At 33.8% G+C, this 18,706-nt stretch overlaps 1 protein-coding gene across 6 annotated transcripts in view; it reads right to left on the bottom strand.

Annotated features, from left to right (window-relative positions):
- HMCN1 (hemicentin 1) overlaps positions 1 to 18,706 on the bottom strand; it is a 456,559-nt gene that overhangs the window by 90,849 nt on the left and 347,004 nt on the right. For 4 of the 6 annotated variants that reach the window (NM_031935.3, XM_011510038.4, XM_017002437.2 and 1 more), the window contains 12 exons: positions 17,140 to 17,236; positions 13,694 to 13,855; positions 12,771 to 12,884; positions 12,456 to 12,658; positions 12,088 to 12,169; positions 11,825 to 11,956; positions 11,346 to 11,495; positions 9,184 to 9,343; positions 6,843 to 6,967; positions 6,432 to 6,615; positions 5,728 to 5,825; positions 4,580 to 4,858 (listed from right to left, as the gene is read on the bottom strand). In NM_031935.3, coding sequence (NP_114141.2) covers positions 4,580 to 4,858; positions 5,728 to 5,825; positions 6,432 to 6,615; positions 6,843 to 6,967; positions 9,184 to 9,343; positions 11,346 to 11,495; positions 11,825 to 11,956; positions 12,088 to 12,169; positions 12,456 to 12,658; positions 12,771 to 12,884; positions 13,694 to 13,855; positions 17,140 to 17,236 — 1,786 coding nt within the window. Of the gene's footprint in view, positions 1 to 4,579; positions 4,859 to 5,727; positions 5,826 to 6,431; positions 6,616 to 6,842; positions 6,968 to 9,183; positions 9,344 to 11,345; positions 11,496 to 11,824; positions 11,957 to 12,087; positions 12,170 to 12,455; positions 12,659 to 12,770; positions 12,885 to 13,693; positions 13,856 to 17,139; positions 17,237 to 18,706 lie in introns of those variants that run through there. The other 2 variants (XM_024450118.2, XM_011510041.4) reach the window with 2 other exon arrangements.

Raw genomic sequence — 18,706 nt, 5'->3', positions numbered from 1 at the left:
TTCTGCTCCTGAGTTCTTTCTCCCCGCTCTCCCCCTCCCCCTGCCACATGCTAGACCAGGCCCCTGCATTTACAGGCTGTATGAATACAGCAGCCTCTTCAATTCATTTTTCACTCTGTCACTCTGTCAGAGGGATTTTTTGGAAACGAAATCTGGCTGTAAAATATTTCTCCTTAAGATTCTTCCATTGCCTTGGTAATGAGGTCCAAACTTCCTCAAAGTTCTCAGAGCTTTGCATAGTTTGGCATCTGCCCATATATAGTTCTTGTCTTGTCTCTTGCTACTCTTCCTCTTACACTCAGTTTCAGGGAGTGCAAATTGACAATTCAAATTGTATTACCTCCAGGTGAGAAATGTATATAAAATTCCCCACTCATCTCTACAGTCCTACTCTTCAGGGCTCAGATTTATGCTTGAGGAGATCGAATCTGAAATCTACCATCCCACAGAATGTTGTTTTATCCATATAATCCTCATTACACTGAAAAGTAATTACTTCTTTAGTATCTGTGTCTTCCACAGATGGAGGAAGTTGAGGGCTGAGATCATATCTTTCTTAGTGATGCATTTGCATGTTTGCCACACCACACATGTTCATAATTATAGTTAAATGATGGCTAGAAACATACCTGTCATATAACGTATATTCAATAATTAATACTTGATATGTGAATAATGAATGTACAGGATCACATTATGTCATCTCCTCTTACTCCTCATGTTCTGTGAATTGATGTACAGGAATTTGCTACCCAACCCCACCCTGCACCTCCCAGACACACAGTTTTTCTTTTTTCTCTCATTGACACATAATTATTATGCATCTTTAGGGAGTACAATGTGATGTTTCCATACATGTATACATTGTGTAATTATCAAATCAGGGTAATTAGCATTTCCATCACTTCAAACATTTATCAGTTCTTTGTGGTGAAAGCATTGAAATTCCTCTCTACTAGCTACTCTGAGATATACAATAGTATATTATTAACTATAGTCACCCTACTGTGCAATAGAACACCAGAACTCATTCTTCCTTTCTAATTGTAACTTTGTACCCACTGACCTACTCCCCCTGTCTCCCTTGTCTTTGGTAACCACTGTCCTATTCACTACTTCTATGAGATCAACTTTTTAAAATTTCACATGAATGAAATCATGTGGTATTTTCTTTCTGTGCCTGGCTAATTTCACATAGTTTAATGTTCTCCAGGTTCATCCATGTTGTCATAAATGACAGAATTTCATTCTTTTTTATGGCTGAATAGTACTGCATTGTGTATATCTACTACATTGTCTTTATTCATTCATCCATTGTTGAACATTTAGATTGATTATATATCTTGTCTGTTGGGAATAGTGCTGTGATAAACATGGATTTATTTGACATACTGATTTCATTTCCTTTGGATATATATCCAGTAGTGGGATTTCTGAACCATATGGTAGTTCTATTCTTAATTTTTTTAGGAACCTCTGTTTTCATAATGGCTATATTAACTTACAATCCCACCAACAGTGTGCAAGTGTCCCCTTTTCTCCACATCCTTGCCGACTCTTGTTATCTCTTATCTTTTTGGTCATACCCATCCTCACTAGAGTGAGGTGATATCTCATTTTGGTTTTGATTTGCCTTTGTTTGATGATTAGTAATGTTGAGGCTTTTTTCATATACCTCTTGGCCATTTACATGTCATCTTTTGAGAAATGTCTGTTAAGGTTTTTGTCCATTTTAAAATTGTGCTCTTTGTTTTTTTGCTATTAAGTTCTTTACATATATCGGATATTAACCCCTTAGAGGTATAGTTTGAAATATTTTCTCCCATTCTGTAGGTTGTCTCTTCACTTTGTTGAATGTTTCCTTAGCTGTGCAGAAGCTTTTTGTTTGATATAATACCATTTGTCTATTTTTGCTTTTGTTGCCCATGCTTTTGAGTTCTTATCCAGAAAAATCCTTGCCTAGTCCAATATCATGAAGTGTTTCCTCTGTGTTTTCATCTAGTAGTTTCGTAGTTTGGGATCTTACATTTAACTCTTTAATCCATTTTGAGTTGATTTTTGTATACAGTGAAAGATAGAGGTCTAGTTTCATATTTCTGCATGTGGACATCCCAATTTTCCCAGCACCATTTATTGAAGAGACTATCCTTTCCCCAGTATGTGTTCTTGGGACCTTTGTCAAAAATCAGGTGGCTGTAGATGCATGAATTTATTTCTGAGCTCCTTATTCTGTTCAATTGGTCTATGTGTCTGTTTTTATGCCAATAGCATGCTGTTTTGATTAATACAGCTTTGTAGTATTTTTAAGTCAGGTAGTCTGCTGCCTTCAGCTTTGTTCTTTTTACTCAAGATTGCTTTGGTTATTTGGAGTCTTTTGTGGTTCCATACAAATTTTAGATTTTTTTTTTCTAATTCAGTGAAGAATGCCAATGGTATTTTCATAGAAATTGCATTGAATCTGATTGTTTTGGGAGTATAGCCATTTTAATAGTATTAATTCTTCCAATCCATAAACATGAAATATCTTTCCATTTATTTGTTTCCTTTCCATTTCTTTCACTGATGTTTAAATTTATTCTTACATATCTTTTTTTTTTTTGATAGCTATTGTACCTCAGTCTCTGCAGAGGATTGGTTCCAGACCCTCTGTGAATACCAAAATCTGCAGATGCTCAAGCCCGGCAGTAGGCCTTGAGAAACCCATGGATACACAGTTGGCCCTCGGTATCTGCAGATTCCACATCCAATGAATATTATATTTTTGATATGCAGTTGTTTGAATCCACAGATGTGGAACCGATGGATATGCAGGGCTGACAGTAAATGGGATTATTTTCTTGATTTCTTTTTCAGACAATTTGCTGTTGGCAAATAGAAACGCTACTGATTTTTGTACGGTGATTTTTAAGTCACAACTTTACTGAATTTGTTTATCATTTCTGAGAGTTTTCTGGTGGAGTCTTTAGAGGTTTTCTATATATTAGATTATGCTGTCTGCAAACAGAACATTTGACTTCCTCCTTTCGAATTTGGATGTCTTTTATTTTTTTGCCTGTTGCTCTAGCTAGGACTTCAATACTATGTCTAATAGAAGTAGAGAAAGTGGGCATCCTTATCTTCTGCTAGACCTTGTAGGAAAGGCTTTCAACTTTTTCCTGTTTAGTGTGATGTTAGCTGTGGATTTATCATAAATAGTCTTTATTGTGTTGAGGTATGTATCTTCTATCCCTAATTTGTTGAGGGTTTTTCTCATGAAGGAATGTTGAATTTCATCAAATGCTTTTTTCGCATCTATTGAAATGATCATATGATTTTTGTCCTATCTGTTAACGTGATGTATCACATTTATTGATTGTGTATGTTAAAACATCCTTGCATCCCTGGAATGCAACCCACTTGATCAGAGTGAATGATCTTTTCAATATACTGTCGAATTTGGTTTGCTAGTATTTTGTTGAGCATTTTTGCAACTATGTTGATAAGGGATATTGGGTTGTAGTTTTCTTTTGCCCCTAAATATCCTGGAGAACTTCCTTTACTACCGGCCTCCATTCTATGGAAGTCACATCTACTCCAGAGAACCATACTTCATTTATTTAGATATGGTTCTGCTTCCCTCTACAGAAGAAACTCCCTTTAATCCACCTGGAAAGTAACTAGTTCGGTTCAGTTTAATCCAACAAATAACACATTAATAGTCTCTAGTGTATTAAATGTCATGCTAAGCACTGGGAATGCAGAAGTAAGTAAGAAGACATCTGCCCTCATAAAGCTTAACTAGGGATGAAGCAGAATTTTAGGGTTACATGAATAAATTTTAATAGTTGCTCTGAGAAGGATTATAACACACGCTGAAACATATGCTAACTTCTACCTAACCAAGACTCTTGCCAAAAGTATTTTTGCTCTTCTCTATAGGGTGTATTTTCTGCTATGTAAGGAGCATGGAGTCTCACTTACTTCACAGTGAGAAAAACAAGCAAAATGCCAAAAGCTCTTGGTTATTGAAATACTTCGTTTCATTATCTTACTTTCTCTTCCAAGGTTAGCATTTTTTACTTCAAGGAAAAGAAGTGTTTTCTCTTTAAACTGTTGCATTTAGAACACTGGAATACATATTTTAAGTATTTACTTTAAATGCACACAAGAATAAATAGAACTAGACTATTTGAAATGATTATTCCAGCTATAAGGTACAGACTGGATCATTTAAAGACAGGGATAACATATCATAGTATACCTATTATGCTTTTTCATCAAATTTCTATAATCGGATGTGTTTTCAATTCTTGGCAAAAGTTTAAAAAGCTGCTTCTCAATTGGTTATAAGGTTTTATCAATGAGTAATGTTTTACAAGCTGGAGTTTTCATCTTTTCAGAGAGATAAAAAATACAATTTAAATTCAACATGCTTCAGATGAGAGTAAGCCAAGGTGAATTATAAAAAAAATTAAAATGCAATAAAAATTTTTTAAAAAATTCTCTCACAGCAACTGATTCTCAGAATTATACTTATTTACTAAACATTCACTATCACTTACTTTCCAATTATTCTACATTTACCACAATGTTTACATACCTAGGACCTTGAGGATAAAGTGCTTGCTGACTTCTCCAGCTTCATTTGAGGCAATGCAGGTGTACTTTCCCGAATCTTCAGTCTCTGCTTTGAGGAGCTGCAGGACCATTCCATGGGTGCTGACTGTCAGATGGGCATCAAGCCCCAGAGGCTGGCCATCTCTAAGCCAGGCCATACTGGGAGCTGGGGTTCCATCAGTAATGCATGCCATAGAGGTGGAACTACCTTTGAGAACTGTGATTTCCTCTGTCCCCATTGAATTGTCCATATTTGGTGGTGCTACATAGAAAACAACATGGGCAAAATTTGGATGTCTATTGTAATTTGAGATCAATTTAAATTAAAACATTTGAATAATTCTATAATGTTTCTGTGGTTGATAAAAATATATACTTTAAAATTGTGTATAATAACTAAGGACTTTACAATAAAAATATCTATTAGGAATGCTAATTATTAATCTTCCAAAGATTAGCAATGAAACTTAAAAATTGTTTTCTTACAGAACGCACAATGTGTTTTAAATTTTGGTGATTTTTCAACTTCTTCACTCTATCCCTTTAACTTGTTGTAATGTATATAATAGTTTTAGTAGTATTCTTTTAACTACTCTATAGAGTATAAATAATATCAAGTTATAGGGTAAGTCATTTGTAGATTACAATAAAGCGTTACTTAACTGAGGTGTTCTTGGGGATTGAGAAATGTGGATCAGCAAACTTCAATATTTCCGAAATGGAAGGTATTGAGTTCTCTCCATATATACGCATACACACACATGCATATATGCACATGCATCCATTCATAGTTTGAATACTCCAAACAAGCTGCTAATATTGTTAGAAAAGTTTTGACTTTTTCTTTACATGAAAAGACTGGTCTTGTGTCTGGATTGAAATGCTATTTTTAAAAATTAGATTTGATTTAGTGCAAATTTCTAGATCAGTATTTTGATAAACAGACAATATGGTCCAATAATATGGACCCCTTGGAAGAAAATACATTCTCTAGTCAGTAAGATCCTATTTCACTAATCCTTTTTGATAAAGTCAGATTTCTAAATCTCTGAGGAAGTCGGTTTCTAAAGATAAGTCTGTTGCTTAATACTTGACATAGCAAAGTAATAGGGTCATTTCTGTGACACATACCAAACACTTGAAGATTGTAATGCTTATTATCCACCCCAGCTCTGTTGGAGGCCACACAAGTATACACAGCGACATCAGACACCTGAGCTCTCACAATCCTGAGAAACAATTTGATCCACATTTCATCACTTGCTCCCATACAACAAGTACACATAAAATAATTATGATTTATAAATAGGCTATAGGTGGTGATTTATGTTGGGAAATTTTAATTATGAAGCTTATAGCCATCCATCACAAAATATAGGGGCCTCAAATGCAATTTATTCTACAAAGCTGATTAGGCAGTGACAATAAACCACTGAAAATATAGCACAATTTAAGAGGTGAATATTTTTCAAATATATATTAATAGAGAATGCTGCTAACATGAAAATCACATTATCATAGTAGGCATCTTCCTACTACCTTGCCACATAAAGTTTTAGCTAAAACAGTAATTCCTGGAAATACATATATGATAACAAACCTGTCTATAAAAGACCATTTTACACATTTACTAAAAAATGAAAGCACTTAAATAAGGATAAAAAATCATTTCAACTGTATATTTGTTGTCCTTCCTCTACTAAAAATATACTTAAAGGGAAAAAAACTGTAAAGGCTTAGAAAAAAACATTTCTTCAACACTGTTTAAATGAAGGAAAAGTCTACAATCACAGTTACTTCATCTGTTTAGGAAATCAGACACAATAAAAGCTGACCTGATAACTTGTCCTGCTGCCAGTAACCGGATATGGGAGGAGAGAGGCAGAGGAAGTCCATTCTTCAGCCAGTTTATCTGTGGTGGAGGCGTCCCTGTGGCTCTGCATTCAATATTTATTGAAGTATCCACTAAAGTCATTAGTTTCTCTGCTTCATCTTTATTACCCCTAATTGTAGGTGTAACTATGTTGTGCAGAAAGTGAGAGAGAGGGAAGAGGGATGTATTATGTAATACTAGTTCAAATAATTTCTACTACAATTGCTCTCATTTCAAAATTGTAGCCCAAAAGGAAATAGTGGTGGCATCAAATTTAAAACTAAATGCTCCAGACACCTGCTGCTGGGCCTTCACTTCTACTGGTAGATTCTTAAGGCAGCATCATCAAAAGAGGGGGATATTTCATATTTACCATAGACATTCAAGTTAAAAATTCGGTCTTCTTCTCCAGCGGGATTAGTAGCAACACATGTGTATTTCCCCGTGTCAGATGTAAGAGCTCCATAAATGTTTAATGTGCTGCCATTTGCACTCACTCTACGGAAAAGATCATAACAGAGGGGCTGAGATGAGATTGAATCTATTTCACTAAGTACATGAAAGCCTATTAAAATCAGTTACTGAAAGTGATGGAAAATTCAAGCAACCAACTGAAATTCTACAGTAGCGAGTCTCATATCTACCACCTCCTTATAAGAAAAAAAGGAAGTGAACAAAATCAGGAATACTTCTCTATTCAAATCATAGGCAAAGACATGATTTTCTCTGAGATAGAATACTATATTCTTAGTTATCCATATAAGGTTTGAATTAAATGCATGTTATACAAAATTCTGGCATGAAAATTGAAGACTGTTACAATGAGAAACTGAAAAAATTACACATAAAAATCTAGTTATAAGCAACTTAATATAGTTATAAACAACTTAATACCTTAATAAAAAACACAATAGGATCATTTAAATTGTGACAACAATTTGGTATCATATGTGGCTATATTTTGCAAACTTTTTTTCTACAAATTGCTAAATAAAGCTTTTCTTTTGAATTACATAATAGTAAAAGATAAATATACAATGAGATCATTAAAGATCTCTAAGCTAAGATTATTGCATTATTGGTTGTCCTCACACACCATTAATTACAAATCAAAATTTCCTGTGTTTTTTGTAGAGATTAAATTGCCATCTACAGTTACTTGTACAATAGTGGTTTCATTAGAATTACCCTGTGTCAAAAGTAAAAGCTCCATTTCTATTATATCTTGTTATTAAATGTTTATTGAGAGCTATATTATTATCTGGGATACAGCTGTATTTTTTCTTTTTCAAAATAAAATTTTTTTAATTCCATGAGTTTAATTAAATTAATAAGCAAAAAGCAAGTTGCCATGATCAAACAAAGGTAGTACATTGACTTTGGAAAAACTATTGTAGTTGACTGACAAACTGTACTACCTACAAATCTATACATATTATGGAATGAATAATAAAGATAAAAGAATAAGTAAATTTAGAATGTTAATGTAGGAGAAGGAATGATAGACTCCAAATTCCTAGCTATGAATACTATCTTATATAAAAGATATCATATATAAAAGATCTTATCTTTATAGCCCATATAAAATCTTTAGGTACCATCAAATATGTAGTACTTGGTCTGGAATATGGCAAATACCAGCTGATTTAACAAAAATAATTAAACACTTGTTATTTACTCAAAAATGTTCACACCAGAGAAATAAAACTTAAAATGTATCCTCTGAAAGACTAGAAATTTTAATACACAATGAATACAAAGAAAATAACATTTATCTCTTTAAGTTATATATATGTTCAATTTATTGACCAGAAAATATACTCCAAACCCTTAAATTTACATATTGGTCCACAATGTTAAAGTTTACAATACATGTAGTTAATGCCCACTTATGCATATAATTAATCTGGTATGTGTAGGTAATGGGATTTTGTGATGAAGTAATCTAGTACAATATCAAATTCCAGATTGTCCTTCCAAAGGAATTTGTTGTTGAAAGTAGTACAAGGTCTTTACCACATTATTATTCCATCTCTATGTGGTTTGTGGCATGGGTAGCAAGTGCCAGCTGAAAATGGGATTTGGACAAACCATTATGAGAGTTATGACATTATTGCATCTTTTCTCAAAATGAGCCAATCAGGATAGCATGCCCATCTCTATGTGGTTTGTTGCATGGGTAACAAGTGTCAGCTGAAAATGGCATCTGAACAAACCACTATAACAGTTATGACATTATTGTATCTTTTCTCAAAAGGAGCCAATTATAGCATGTACACAGTTTGGTGGTTTCAGCATACAAAATCATATCTAGAATTATTGATGAATCATTTGTGAGATAAAGTTGGTTTGGCATTTGCAGGAAAGAACTAATTATTTTTATGGCATGGGCTTTAGCATAATCATTCTGAAATTACAAGAATAAAATCACCAACAGTTAACATTACAGTTAATGAGTTAAAGTTAGTTAAAGTTAATGAGTTAATTAACATTACAGAGTTAACGGATGAGAAACATACACAATTCTGAGTGACTCTCTAACGAGAATGTCTATGTCCAGTTCTCAAAAAAAAGTTTTTTGTTTCTTTGTGAATATAATGATAGCTAAGTTCCAATGGGATGGAATTCGGTATTATTATTCATGTGAAATTTGAAGCATAAAGCATTGTAGAAGGGCTTACAATTTATAATGGAAAGATTATTTTTAAACATACCGGATTCTTTCTGTTTCACCACTAGCTATGGGCTTTCCATCTTTAAGCCATTGAATAAGTGGAGTAGGAATGCCATTTGCATTGCAGACCAGCTCAACATTTTCTCCTAGAAGGACACTGACATCACTTGGAATTTCAGCACCAGCAACACTTGGAGGAACTTTGGAGAAATAATTAGGAATTTCATTAACAAGACACAGGATATAAATTCTAATGTAACAGAGTCATAAAACAATATGACATTTCTAGTTCATATTCTTTGTAGATTATGGTTCAAGGTCAAACTATTGTTATCTTCATGAATTACTTTTAAATGACAAAGATAAAGGAACGCTTCAATATTTCTGGTGTATTTGTAAGTTGATATAATTATTTAGTCATAGGGGCTAGTGATAGAGCTACCTCATGATCACCCTTTCTGGCCAAATTAAATTACTCTTAGATTAAATCCTCAATGGATAGTACAGTTAAAGAACCACAAGCACATAGGTAAGGCAGTGTGCATTTTTTTGTGTTTTTCTTTTGCTCTTAATTCACTAGACTTATAGACTCTGTCTTATAAAAACTTGGCATAAAGGTCTGAGGAAATTATCTAAGTTGGTTATTTCTTTCTCCATTATTCAATTTAATTATTGTTTATTTTGAACAATGGATAGGTTTGTTGTAGTTCTGAAGAGCCAATAGTTTCTATTCTCTTTTTCTAGCCATCTTTGGTTTCCACTTTGATTTCACTGAGAAATATTGCGTAATAAAAATACTGCCAATGGTATCAGATATAAACATGTTTGAATTCCTATTCTATATGATCATAGCGATGTGCAGAAGGTAGTTCACACCAGGTCGCAAAAGCCAATTTTGTACATGTTTTCCCCACTCCATGTTCAGTAACATCCCTTTGGTAGGTTGAAATCTTGTATATATTAGATCATGGTGGGAATATTTACACCATGGAGACTGGCAAACAATTGGCTACGAATCATGGTCTTTTTGTCTGGAGAGAAAATTCTTAAACATTTACCAGCACATCACTGAATAAGCTCTATAAATCTAATTTTAGTCATTCAGAAAATAATAATTTTACCACTTTTGCACAATTTAGAGTACTAAAGAAGTTGAGTCAATAAGAACATTAGTAATAAGAGACATCCTATAATGAGTATCTAATATATGACAAGCACTGGACTAGGTCCTATATGCATATACTATTTCTAGTTCTAAGACATAATAAAGTATATAAAAATCTGGTAAAATGTTTAGTCCTACAACATATCTCATGATTAGCATCTGTTATTATTAATGCATTAGACATAATTCAATATGCAACTTCTGACGTTGAATCTCTGACTAGCTGTTTTTCCTTCAGCTTCTGAAATCCCAAAGCATCACTAATCATCACAGAGAGACCACTGATACCTGTGAACTTAATTCTTCTAATTGTATTTTTTTGGAGTTAGCTTTAGCAGAGCACACAACAGATACGTAATATTCATAGTAGAATTCATAATTTATGAGAAATTCTTTCCCTAATAACTATAAGATTGGAAGAAAAAGTATTTCAACTTAGTTTCAAGTTAGACTTTCATTTCAGTTTCAATACTGAGCCAAATGTAATAATCAGAGGTTTACTGAAAATCAAAAGAAAACAAGTTGTCCCTGCAATGCTTAATACTATGTTGGAACATAATAGGCATTAATTAAATACTTGATGAATTGCTCATCTTAAAATAGTATAAGATTCATCATTCATTAAAATTTACCTAATCTACCTGCGGTCAGATCATAGTACAACTTCTTTGTGAATTAAATCTTATCTATACAAGTAAGAACAGATCTATAGGCTTACCATCAAAATGAATTATACCAGTTTAAAATAAGTATAACTCCATAGATATATACTATAGAAAGATAATAATGGAAGTGGAAATGGAAAATTGGAAAAAGTAGAGATTACCAAATTTCCACTATTCTTTTTTCCACATTTATGTCCATTTCCATGAAAACAGAATCTACTGGTAAATATAAGACAGAAAACTGATGATAGTTTTTGATGATCTAAAGATATGTTGAATCAATTACTACTGATACCTTTAAATGTAGATTATTTTGTACTATAAATGGAATAACAAAGAAATTGAAGATAGATCATAGTGGACAATACATACCTTGAATTGAAAGAAAGTAATATTTCTGGGCTTTTCCCTCCATATTTGAAGCAATACATGTATAGTTTCCACTATCTGAATGCTGAGACCGGGCAATCTGGAGTTTGCTACCTCCAGACAAAATACGAACTTCCAGTGAGTCAGAATTTTCTAGAGGTAGAAACAAAGCACAATAAAACATAAAAAAACCTTTAAACTTTAACATCTCTAAAATTCATGATAAAATGTCTTACTTTACGTGATAAATGCATTTCTTAAAAGTTCTCCATTTTCTTTTTTAAAAAAGAAAAAATTCTTTATAAAATGACTAATCATTTTACAATGAGTCTATTTTGTAAATCTGTATTTCAGTGCGTTAGCCTTCTTGAACTAAACACCCCTATGAGCATGGTACTTAAAATGTGCTAGTTTAAAAGTCTAGTGAATTAAGAGCAAGAGAAAAAAACACACACACACACAAAAATGCATGGTTGCCTTACCTATGCGCTTGTGGTTCTTTAACCATGCTATCGTGGGAGGTGGGATCCCAGTGGCATCACATGTTAATGTCACAGGATTGCTGATCGTCTCCACAATCACTTCTCTTTCAGGTCCTTCAATACTGGGTGGCACTGTAAAAAACAAACAAACAAACAAACAAAAAAACAGAAGAAAATCATTTGTCCTCATTAAGCTAATTTGGAACACTTTTTTCATTTGCATATCTAGGGGAAAAAGAGTTGTATTAGAGGCAAATGCTCACCATATACATTGAGGTGGAAATTTTTATCATCCCGTCCTGCTACATTTATAGCTCTACATACATACTGGCCTGTGTCAGATACCTAAAAGAAAAAGATACTATTGTATGTGCTCCATTAAGTTATAGATGACCAATCATACTGTTCGAGTTTAGATTAAATCATCAGTCATCTGTATGCTCAATGCCCCAGTTCTAATTGCCTTCTGCAATCTTGCTATTTTTTATAAAAATAGTCAATGGCATTGGCTATGTATTTTTTTAATGAAAATCATTTTTCACTGTAGTAAAAGGGAATATGCAACTTCCAAGCATCTTTTCCACCACCCCACCAAGGTGTCATGACACTCAAACAAGAATAAAAGATGCACCTCAGCTTTCTTAATGTGTAGCATTTGTCCATCAGCTAAAATCTCCACATGAGTAGACTCTGTTATCATCCGCCCATTCTTATACCAAGTGATGACTGGAGGTGGCACAGCGTTCGACTCACACTCCAAAGACACAGAAGTTCCCTCTCTTACATTAACTACAGAAAGAGATTCACTGTCATGGTCTTTAATGCTTGGGGGCACTGAGGGAAGAAAATAACAGAAGGATTTTCTTTTTCATTAAGGTGCTCAGATAGAAAATATTGAATACCAGTTTTAAAATAAAAGAATTTTATGAAGAGAGTAAAAACGAACCATAAACAGTCAGGGAAAACTTTTTCTTGCTTTCGCCAGCTTGATTGATAGCTATACAAGTGTATTCACCACCATCTGATACCTTGGCCCGAATAATCTGTAGAGTTCGACCACCTGTAGGTAAATAGAATGCAAATTGTAGAGTGGTATACAGGTTGTTCTAACAACTATTTTACCAATCAGATAAATAGCAACATATATCCTTCCCCTTAGAGTAAAATTTATAGAGAAGCCTTCCTATTTAAAATAAAATAATTGGATCAGTTTTCTTTGATCTTTCCTTTATTATTCACCTAGTTCCTTATAAAGGAAGAGATTCATAGAATTTTTCTCTCCAGCATCAAAACATGGACAGTAAAACTGTTTGATACAGGCTCTGGTGAGCAAATAGTAATTGTACTATGGTCAAAATATATTAAGTGTTTTCTGGGTTTAAATTTCCCACAATGCCGAGGTGTCTAATCTATCTATCTATCTATCTATCTATCTATCTATCTATCTATCTATCTATCTATCATCTATCTATCTATCTATCATCTATCTATCTATCTATCTACCTATCTATCTATCTATGTCTATCATCTATCCTTACGGAACTTTAGGATTAAAAACAACCAGCAGATGTATCCAATGAAAGTACTATTTGCCATCTACCACTTGGTATTACTAGGCCGTTCTAAGCTGTTCTCTTTCTAAATTTTATCATTTCTTGAAGGAGACCTTGTTATTTGTACATTCCCACTAAAATCAGAGAAGTCTACAAAATCTTACCTTAATGACCACAAATGGGCAAAGAGAGGCATTTACTGTGAATAAATAAATGAAGCACGACAAAAGTTTGGAAATACACTAATTTGAAATGCTGTTTGTATTAAAATAAAGATGAGAAAATTTTGCCTGCTTTATAATAAGAAGTTCCTTACCAGGCACAATGAGAGTATTTGTGTTCAGTTTGATGGGCTGTTCATTCTTGAGCCAGCTGAGGTCAGGAGGTGGAAAACCAGAGACCTCACAGGTCAAAGAGATGAAATTGTTCACCACGACGGTAAGATTTTCAGATTTAGGACCAATGACACTTGGAGGAACTATAATAGTAAATATATTAAAAGTGAAAGCAGGTGTTATCAACATATATTCCCATTTACTAAATATAAATCCAACCACTGTACTCTGCTAAAGGACTGAGTTAACGATTCTGTTCATTATCTAGCTGTCTGTCTTACAATTCCCTAATGCCTTCATCAAACTCACGTTGGAGTTTATTTTTCCCAATTGAAAGAGAGCATTAGAATTTTCAGAGACAGAATTATTCTGCATTTTATTTGTAAAACATAGTCGACAATTCCTAAGACGATTTTGTCAATGTACAAAGGAGACCTAATGTGCTTTTTATTAAGTATATTTGAATAATCTTGTTAATATTTTATTTTTACTTAAGTGCTGTAGAGAAGGAGATAATAGTGAGAATTTCAATATTAAAGAGACAGGAGGAGATTTTTTAGGAGATAATGGGGCAGGGATCTAGAGTCAGGTTAGACTTCGGCCTTTGGAAGGTAGAGCAATGCATTTCTCTTATTTAAACAAGAAGGAAGAAAGAAATGGCAGGAACAGATGTGGTCAGTACTCTCGATTTGATGGTAGGAATTTGAGGTGGATTTCTAGAATATGCTTTCTCTTTTCCCTGCAAAAGAGAAGGTGAAAGTGTTAATACTTACTGAGAGAAAGTGAGAGGGGGCTGTTATGAACTGAATGTTTCTGTCCCCGCAAATTCATGTGTTGAAGCCCTAAGTCCCAGTGTGGCTGTATTTGAAGATGAGGCCTTTAAGGAAGCAATTAAGGTCAAATGATTCCTTAGGATTAGTGTCCTTAACAAGAGCCACCAGAGAACTGGCTCTCTCTCACCAAGCATGCTCAGAAGAAAGGCTATGTCAGGCCATATGAAGACAAAGCAGGTGCCTGCAAACCAGGTGGACAGCCTTCTCCAGACACCAAACCCTGCCAGCACCTTGATCTTGGACTTTCCGGCCACCAGAACTTTGGGAAAATAAATTTCTGTTCTTTAAGCCACACAGTCTCTGGTCGTGTTAAAGCAGCCTGAGCAGACCAAGACAGTGGCCACTTGATATTTTTGAGGAGGGCGTGAAGGTTTAAGAGAATCACTATAGTGTAGACACAAAACGACAAGTCGCAATCAGTATGGAGGGCTCAGTTCAAGCTGGTACTATGAATTTATAATGACATCAATATTCCTGCCTTCAAGATTTCCTTCAGCCATGGTGAGCTACCTAAGTGCAGGTAGCGTACAGATGTGGAATTTAGTGAGAGGCATTAGAGAGAAGCAGGTATAAAACTTATGGAATAAACTGCCTACATTGAAATCCTGGTGCAGCATTTGCAAGCTGTGTAATTTTGAGCATGTTACTTAATCTCACCGAGCCTCGCCTTTTTCACCTCCAGGGGAGGCATAAAATGGTAGCAAGCACATATGGTTATTGAGATAATGAAGTGAAATAACCTATATAAAACATTTGGCACAGCACCTGGTAGGTTTCAAGCAGTCAGTTTGTTGTCCTTGTTGTTATATGCAACAAGGACATATAACATATGTTATATGTTGCTCAGCTTTTACTGAGCAAGAGTGATGAGAAGATATGGGCTAAGAGAAGTGACTGAAATGCTGTTCCACAAAAATTAAGCTGGCCATGAAGGAAAGTGAAAAGAGCTAAAACCTAAGATGCCAACAGACTGAAGGAGTACAAAAGAAGCAAGCAGAGTTGTAGAGGGAGATAACAAATGGTATTGTTTTACATGAAAATAATTTACATTATTTCCCCTCAAATGAATTTTCCAACATTTAAGTAATGAGTTCCTGATTGCAGTCAGGAACTCAAGACATCATTAACTGGTGAAAGAAGAAACACATTTCTGAACTCCAATCCTTATTGGTAAAACACTAGTGATTACTTCCTCACAAGTCACTGTCCCACTTCAGGTGTTTCTACTGTACATTGCAAAGAGGCAATGATTATGAAGAAAATATAATAAACATGCAGAAAACATTTATTTAGCAACTACCACAACTATAGACACCATTCTAGGTTTAGGGAGACCAAGATAAGTAAGATATGGCCATCTGTCTAGAGCACTTACAATAAAGTTATGGGATAGAGGCATAGATACAGATATATGAAGATAACACAAGGCAACATATGGAACTGCTACAATTGGGGTATTTACAAGATGCTTTTCTGACATAGAGAAGGAAAAATGAATTTTGCCTTGAGCAATCAGGAAAACTAATCAGTATTTTATTTTCCAATATTTACTGCACTTTACAGATTAGAATGTGTGCTTTCACAATGATTATGTTTGTTTAATTAATTCATTCTTCCTGAGAATTCATAACACATGTGTTCCTGCTCTGGTTAGATTTATCCATTCAAAAAACTTCAAGGACACTTATTAAGCATCTACAGTGTGTTACTCACTGTGCTAAGAACGGGAATTAAAAAGATAAAAGTGTTTTAAATATCTATTACACAAACACCAAATACTGCTAGATACCAATACTCACTACATATCACACCAAAGAAGAATATTTATCATACTACATAAAAGTCCTTTAGAAGGCAGAAATTTTTCATGACATTTCAAATTTCAGTTACTTCCAAAATGAGCTAGAATTTTATGTGTGTATTATGTATGTAAAGGAGATCTTTTATAATGATTATCCACCATTTCCAAGTTAATATTCTGGAGGCACCAGCATCTCACAAAATAAAACTACTCTTTTGCAGTAGATATTCAACTACTTTTTTTTTTTTTTTTTTAGCAAAAAGTGGTATTTATGGAGTGTCTAGCATGTATTTAAAAGAGTTTGATGAATGAATTAGGTGTGCTGGTGGTTTTAAAGGAATTATTTAACTCCACAAAGTGACTTTTTCTTCTCCAGGGAGTATATTAGTTACTAGAGGACATAGCTCAACATGAATTCTGCACTTAAGGACAGAAACCAATTCCAATCATGACTAGTGGATAGATTTTTATGAGTAGGAGACCTGTATTTGCTTCTAACTTCATAAACTTGTAATCATTAATATTTTAAATTCTGATTTTCCTTTCAAATATGCAGGAGTAGTTATTTTCTCTTGAGACACTGAAGTAATATAAAAACTGTGTTCCTGGAAGTTTTATGCTTTATAAATCCTACTAGCCATCGTGGAAAGAAAGAAGAGAGGGGATTGAATGAGTATAGGCTCCTCACATTGTTTAAGTTAAAAAATACAAAATAAGCCTACATAATCTAAAACAGAAATTTTCTGCTTTTCCAAGCATACCCTAACAGATGGTTTTGGAACTGAGCTCTTACCATGAACATTGAGGTTAAAATATTTTTTGGCACTCCCAGCTGTGTTCTCAGCAACACACACATACCTGCCGATATCTGTTATTTGAGTATTCAGAATCTAAGGGAAAAATGAAGAAATTCCAAATAAAATTTTGAATAAAGCAACTTGTCATATTTGTCTATTTTTTAGAATAAATAATATATATTATTTCTATTTAATACCAGATAGAAAAAAATGTTGTACATACTAGTGCTGATGCTAGCTTTTATTAGGTAAATCAAATAAATATTTACTAAGATTTTTAATCAGGAGAGGTAATTCTATACATATTTGTGGTATGTTGACTAGAAAAAAAATGTCCCAAATTATTCTCCCATTTCTCTCTCTCTGCCTCTGGCATTGTGACTTTGACACCCCTCCCATCAGGAAGTAGAATTTGTGTTGGTCTTGTGACTGGCTTTGGTCAACAGAGCGTGACGGAAGTGACTGTCATTTCAAAACTGAAGCCTGTTCACTCGTGCTCACTCTTTTGGAACTCTGCCAGCACCATGTGAGGAAGCCAGGATTAGCCTGCTGGAGGGTAGAGATCACTTGGGGAGGAATCATCACAGTTTATTGCAACTTAGGCCCCAGATATGTGTGCGATCCCAGCCAAGGCCACATCCGGAAGAATCATCTAGCAAACCAGCAGGCTTGTGAGCTAAATAAATGCTTACTGTTTCAAGTCATTAAGTTTTGGAGTGGTTTGTTTTATGCAGCTAATATAACAATTATGTTTTCTTCATTTTATTACATAGAAATTTCTATCCAACTATATATCTTTTGGACTTGGACACAGAACCATTGAAGTATTTTGGTAGAGGTTATATGATTATCACATAGAAATAGTCACAATATTTAGAAGATACTTTGAAAATTTAAGGTTATTTATAAGTAATAAACCTCTTTCTCTTTTGAATAAGGAATTCCATGAGATATGTCCTATGTTGGATACACTGAAGGTTATGCTTGGATTCTTGAGCCAATAGAATATTATTTATTTTGCTCAAGAAGTAATTTATCAAATTGTATCCTAACAAAAGAATTGGTATTATTTCTACAAGTGCTTTTCTTTCAGGACATGTGAAAAGAAGAATATGGACACACCATTGGTAAACAACAATCCAGGATATGTATGTGATTTTCATAATTTTTATTATTATCAACCTTTTGCCTACATACAAATTTAAATATATAGGGAACTTCCTACCATTTAGAATTTTACCAACAGAAATATATAATGGAAAGGACTGCAATAATGATTTGTTTATAATACAATTTTTATCAGAAAGGCCATATTGTAGTCAATTGAGGTGTGTGTAGAACATTTCTGGAAAAATCCACACAAAACTATTAACAGTGGTAACCTCTGGTAGTGGGAATAGAATGAGGAAGAAGAATTTTATTATATATACCTTTGATGGTTGGTTATTTTTACAAATATAATATTTACAAGCTAATAAAAATTATTTTTAAAAGTCAAAAACAATTATTACAAAGTGCAAAGTCAAATAGCTCTTTTAAAATTAGATCTTTCTTTACTTTTAC

Source organism: Homo sapiens, chromosome 1, assembly GCF_000001405.40.
Source record: "Homo sapiens chromosome 1, GRCh38.p14 Primary Assembly".
Classification (NCBI taxonomy): domain Eukaryota; kingdom Metazoa; phylum Chordata; class Mammalia; order Primates; family Hominidae; genus Homo; species Homo sapiens.
Note: the sequence above shows the minus strand (reverse complement) of the source record. Positions and strands in the feature narration are given on the sequence as shown.